Source organism: Homo sapiens, chromosome 10, assembly GCF_000001405.40.
Source record: "Homo sapiens chromosome 10, GRCh38.p14 Primary Assembly".
Lineage (NCBI taxonomy): Eukaryota > Metazoa > Chordata > Mammalia > Primates > Hominidae > Homo > Homo sapiens.
In genome coordinates, this window is record NC_000010.11 from 61061750 (window position 1) to 61068181 (window position 6432).

Consider the following 6432-nt stretch of genomic DNA (forward strand, 5'->3'; position numbering starts at 1 on the left):
ATCGATGTCTGGGTACTGAAATAACTGTATATTTTTGATATATTACTTTATAATAGAGGACTTTTGTCATTTTTTCATTTTCTTGATTGGATTTATTTTTAGTACTCACATATATCTGAGTTTCAAATGTACACAATATTTGAAAATAATAAAGCCATCTTTAAAATAATTTAAAATATGGCCTTGAACTGATGCCTTGACTATTTTCTCCTGAATTTCTGAGATTTTTTAAGAGACTGTAGTGATTTTACGTCATCCCAGAATGACAGCCCTAATATAATTGCAAAATAAGGGTCAGGGCAAGATGTCACAAATTTTTTGTTTTCTGCAGGCTCTGTCTAAGATTCTCTCTGCACAGTACCATGACAACGGGTTTGAAAGAGAAAAATTTAGTTAATCAGGCAGTTGTTTTAGCTACATGAAGCCAAACAACGGGTTTCAATCTTATTTTCTTCTGCTTCATTGCATTGATGAGATTCAACCCATAGTTCTGACATCATGTGTGTGACCTAAATCACATTCTTTTACGTTCTGGAAATGGCTTTAATTGAGTATTTAATGGAGTATTTGCTCTATTCGAAAGACCTTCCTTTGCACATGTGTGTGAGGAGAATTGTAATCCAGTGATTATGTTGCTGGGAGAGGCTCTGCTTCAGTCAGTGCTGGTGCTTTAAAATATTTTTCCTGTCGTTGGATGGGGGAGTGGGTGATTGTAAGATGGGCTCATCTGCAGTAGTTTCACAGCAATGATAGATGACTTCGATGAAGGCTGTTTGTATGTATTTATTTTCTTACTTTAAGTACAACTCAGATCTACCCCGACTAGTTGCCGCATATCGTGTTAAATAAGAATAACTGTTCTGAAATAAAAGAGTCTACTTAGTCTAAGAGTTTAAAAGTAGAGACTCTTAGTAAGTTGCTTCATGCTAAACTCCTGTTTACTTTTTAGTAAAGTATTTTTGTTTGCTTGTTTGTTTATTAGAAGGAAACAAAGCAATACTATATGTGGAAAATCCATAGCCCAGTAGCTGACATATTATAAACATGCAATAGGCAGCAACTATTTTTATTTTTTTTCTGTGCTCATACCTATAACCTCAGCATGGTAGAACACACACATAAATCTTATTTTCTTACTAATGTGCCCTATTAATCAAAACTTCAAAAAAGTCTTCTGTTCAAAGGGAAATGGAAGCTGCTAAACCGTATTACTTTTCAATTAAAAAATGTTCATCTGCCCTTCTTGCGCCGGCGATTTCGGTTCCAAGAAGATTCCACATGGACCTTCTGATCTGTGTGAAAGAACAAATAAGAAAAGCTCCTGGAGATGGGCTAAGGAATGACACTGCAGTTTCACCCCCCACTTCCCCAGGATTTGGTGGCAATGACAAATGGCAACTCAAAGCAGTTTTCCAAAGGCTTCTTTAAAACAAGCCAAACAGTTCTTGTTTGAATTGGCTGTTTACTGTCATTCTTACATGAAAAGAAAGAAATGTTTGGCAAGAGCAAATTTCAGCAAGCTGCCAAAAGGGAGCTTCCAAGAGTCAGTGTGTCACTGGGCAGTCGTTCAATCCACCAGGGGAACATCATTTAAACTCAGCTTGAATAGGCCCATTTCTCCGCAAACCGCATGTCTGATGACAGCTATTAAGATTCACACATGGGTTTCAGATGTATTCACACCTTTATCATTGTTTTAACTTTTTATTTCAAAATAATCTGAGACTTAAAGAAAAGGTGCAATAAATAGCATAGAGCTCCTATTAACTTTTTCCTTCAAAACATTGTATATAACCATGGACAACTACACTCTTATTAATTCAATACCTATTATAGAACTTGCAATTATTGTTAATACAGTTCCTCATTCTTCTCAAAATCCTATGTGTGGGTAGAATGAACATTTTGTTCATATTTATGAATGAAGAAATTGAGGCACAGGTCATAGAGCCAGCTAGCGCTGAATTGGAACTGGATTTGGTATAGTTGATTCCCAACCCAGATGTAAAAATAAATGAGTTTAATGTAGAAGAAATCATTTATACACACACACACACACACACATTATGTGAATCATTTTGATTATTAGTTTGCTAATAAAATAGCTCTTCCCTCCCTCGTATTTAGTCCACCCTTTCTGCCCCAAATATCCCTAGAACCTATTGCCTGCTTCAAGTACCACTAATGTTCCCTAGAATTCAGACGTTCCCCATTCCTTACTTGTAGTTTTGCAAAAATAAATCTCTTATTTATCTTCCTGACTCCACACTGTTGCCAGAGTGTCTTTTTTCCCTAAGTCACTGATCCAATTACATCATTCTTTTGTTTAAACTCCTTCAATAAGCTCATGTGTGTTGTCCACTCATTTCCAAGTACCATACAGGGTATTCAGCATTCATCATCTCCCTTAATCCACACAACAACACTATGAGTTAGGCCTTATGTCATTTCCTTGGTTCAATAGGTTCACAGGTTGAGATTGTGTGGTAGCTAAATGGCAGAGCCAAGAGCTAAACTTAGGACTCTAGAGACATCAGACCACCCAGTCTGCCCATTGCCTATAGGATAAAATCCAGATTCCTGAGCCAGTCCGCTAAGATTCAGGCTTGACTTTAGGTTATCCTTACAGTAATTTGGTTCCTTGTATCCTGTGCTTAGGTATAACAAATTTCTTGCCCTGCCTAGTTGTTTTTTCATACTACCATGCCTGTTCAAATATAGGACTTCTCTCTCTGCCTAAAATGACTGTCCCCATTTTTGCTATTAGGCAAGACCTACTTCAAATTCACAGTGGCGCCCTAGGGTAGAGAGGGCAGTGTGGTGGGAATGCTCCACCTGGGTGCGGGCAGTAGTGAATTCATTCTGTAGAGACGGCAAGTAGTAAATGCACTCTGTAGAAAGTTAATATCAAAATTGAGTAAAATCATCTGCTTCTTCTTAGCATCAGGTACCAGCAACTGAAAGAATGTCGGTGACAAAAGACTCCTCTATGTGGGAGGTGTCAGCTACCCCTGCCTAGGTGACCCTCCTGCACATTCACTATCTCCTAGTTTCTACTGCATTTACTATGGAATCTCCGTTAGAACTGCTGTCAGATTATGTTACAACTACTTCATTGTCTCTTCCTCACTCAGGCCATGTGTTTCTTAAATCCAGTGACAATGTCTTAGACACCTTTGTGTTCTCGGTGCTGAGCATAAGGCCCAGAGTAGATGTGTGGATAAACGAATTAAAATAAAATCCCAGAATTATTCTCTTTATATCCTTCCTTGGAAGTACTTCTTATTAATAATGAGTATGAATACCTTTGTGTTCTGAAGAAATTTTGTGAAGAATTATCTAGTATTTTAAAATTATGTAATTACACATTACAACCAGTGATTTCAAAACTGTATGCGGTAACTTTTAAAGATAAAATCTGGATAGCCTGAAGAATCTAGGGGCCTTTAGTTGAGTAACATCAAAGAGGCATATTCTGTAGAACTGCTGATAACATCATAACGACAATAAGCACCAGCTTTAGAGCTCAAGAGACTGAAGGCCAAGCTCTGGCTCTGCCCCATACATCACACACAGTGACCATGAACAACTTTTTATTATCTCTGGAACTTAATTTTCTCATGTATAAAATAAGTGCTGTTGAAAACAAACATACAAACTTGGATAGTGTTTAGCAAAGTGTCTGGTACATAATATTACTAATGATGACCAAATCTTGAAATTTTGCCCTAATTATTAGTATTTCAGAGATTTCTATAACAGAGTTATTTTAGAAATATAAAGTCATTTAATCAATTTGTATTATTTGTAAACATAAAAGTTTTCATGAGATCATGGAGTAAAAAGCCACCTCACAATGGAGAATTTTCCATAGGCATTACCTTGATTTTAGTCCGCTGCAATGTAAACTTTGCAGTAGGTTGACATGATTGTATGTTGAGGAGATAATTTCTATGTTGACAAGCGTTTAAAACATCATACATTTGGTAGAAATATTACCTTGTTTAGATTAAACATAAGGTTTATTTGAAATGTCCATAGTAGCAGCTCTATTATCTAATGTGATTGCCATTGGTGGATAAATTTGTCAGTAATTGAAAAGAGATTCGTGAAAATAAGATGCACATATTTTAAGTATTTATGTTATTTGTCAATTTTTTCTGATGAAAAGCCAGTGCCTTTCCTTTGAGTGTAGGTACACTGATTGGAATGCTCACTCATCTTTCTTGTATAAATTATACCCACAATACATTTTCTACTGTTTCTACTAGTTCCCATTTATTAAGAGCAGCGCTTGAAGTTAAAGACCATTGTAAAGCTGTCTGAAAGCAGAGTCTGTCTAAAGTTTTACAAATGTATCCTACTCTTTCATGGATATCTCACCCACATCTTATTGATTAATTTTCTTTCAAACTTGCTTTTATGAACTCTTTCTAATGTACTCAACTAGGTTTTTATAGAAACCAAAGTCTCTCTTTCCACATTCATATTTCCTCAGTCTGTGTGTATTTAATTGTGTAATTCTAATAGTAAACTGGCATAAACTGACTTGAGAAAAATGTAAGCAACTCATTGTAAGCATAAAACCCGTGAGTAGACATTCTAGAAAATAACTTACTAAGTGTAATTGTTCATTGTAACGTCAGTCAAATGTCTTATAGAAAAAATGGAGACCATGGCTCAGTCAGGTGTACTAGTTAGGAGCGCTGGGAGCGTCAGCTGGATTTAATTTTGAGAGCTTAGTTCCCCTCTATGAACTGAATTTTGCTAATTAGAAATGCCATGGGATTCAGAGCTTTTGACCCTTAAAATGTTTTAAACTTTTATAACCTTGTTGTAAGGTTATTTCAAGGCAATTCAATTTAAGATGTTGCTTAGTGTTTGAATTTTATCTTTTGCCAAGCAATTTCTCTTTTTATTAGGGCACATGGATCCTCTCTAATCCATGTGCCCTAATAAAAATACTAGCTTAAATTTAAAGAAGGAATTGGACAATCATATCCTGAGGAAACAGTATCTGCCAAACACTTGCTGGGGAAAAACACCAATAATGTCCTAATGCTCAACTGAACACTCACATCCCTAAATCCTTCCTGAGCAGCCAAGCTTTAAGAATACTTCCTGACACTTTTACCTAACTTGATGTCAAACGTTTTTAATGCAACTCACAGAGAACTGATCGTTGGTCAACTCACATAAGTCTCTTTTGGCCTCTGATTAATATAAATATTTTCTTAAATAGAAACAATTCAATGTTCTTTGTTTAGGCTGAAATCCCATATTTCAAAGGATTATGAAATAAATGTGTTTGCTATAGGGTAGATGAAAAGAAGATCTGACATTTGAAAATCTTGATATAATTGATCTGATAAATTCTTAACTCCCGCTGACGTCGATGAGAGAGAAGGGCATGTGTAAAGAGCCAGAGGTCACGTTTGAAGTATCTGAAATTTGGAAATGTTGCCAAGAGGGTTATCTAAACCTTACTGATGCCGCTCATTTGTTGAGCTGTTTGGCTGGGAAAGATAAAAATTTGCATGACTCTCTAAAATGTAACAGGTTAGATTGGTGCAAGTTTACAGATTTTTTTTTTCCTTTGTAGCATTTTAAAATCTGGGAAATTTTACAATTAAAGAGTGAAACAGAGGTTGATACTAGGCTTATGTTATTGCATGACAGCAAATGGCTGGAGCTAAGCAGCAACTGCTCCTATATAGGATCTTTCCCCTCTAATACCCTATGGTTCCCCCATTCCCATCCATAACACGTGCCCATAGCCAGTCATTTCTGTTACCTCCTGACAAATTACCCGTAAGCAGGTGAATTTGCAATTCCTCTCATGGACTTTAACTTTTTTTTTCTTTAAATGTAAGTTTTGTATACAAAGGTATACTTATCTAGAAGGATTAGGTTCTTCCAATGTAATGAATTGTTCCTTCTGCTGTCTGCATGAACACTTTCAGGCTGTTGTGTTGTACCTTAGTCTACTGCAAACACTCAAAGCAGAAGATGCCTCCCCCTGACATTAAGAATCCCAGTTTAGACAGATTTAAGAATTTACAGCTTTAATGCAGACGTGACATCTTGCAAATACATCTTCAGATGAATATCTCCCTAAACCCAAGGCATATGTGGTCATTTACCTTTTGAGTGCCCTGTGCATTCCTGGGTTTCCTGATTCTTCAGATTACATGCAATTTGCATTGTGTTTTCTTGGTGACAGTATTGAAGTATGAAGGGAACCCCAGGATTGACTGGGTTTTTGTCCTGATTTCCTGAAACGTCTGAACAGGTTGCCCTTGACCAATGTCCTTGTCACTAAGACTTGTTGATGGTGCTTCCCCAGTGGTTTGGCATAAGGAGCAGCAGGGTTGGAGATCATCCCGGAAGGAGAGGGGATCTGAGGACAAAGACAGACTAAAGATAGTGGGG

The 6432-nt window shown here is 36.7% G+C and overlaps 1 long non-coding RNA gene across 1 annotated transcript; it reads right to left on the reverse strand.

Moving 5' to 3' along the window:
• Window positions 1-1049: 1049 nt before the first annotated feature.
• Window positions 1050-6191, reverse strand: LOC124902434 (uncharacterized). The gene is made up of 2 exons (XR_007062154.1): window positions 6144-6191; window positions 1050-1292 (listed from the first exon to the last, which is right to left on the reverse strand). It is a non-coding gene; the product is annotated as an uncharacterized LOC124902434 (long non-coding RNA).
• Window positions 6192-6432: the final 241 nt, after the last annotated feature.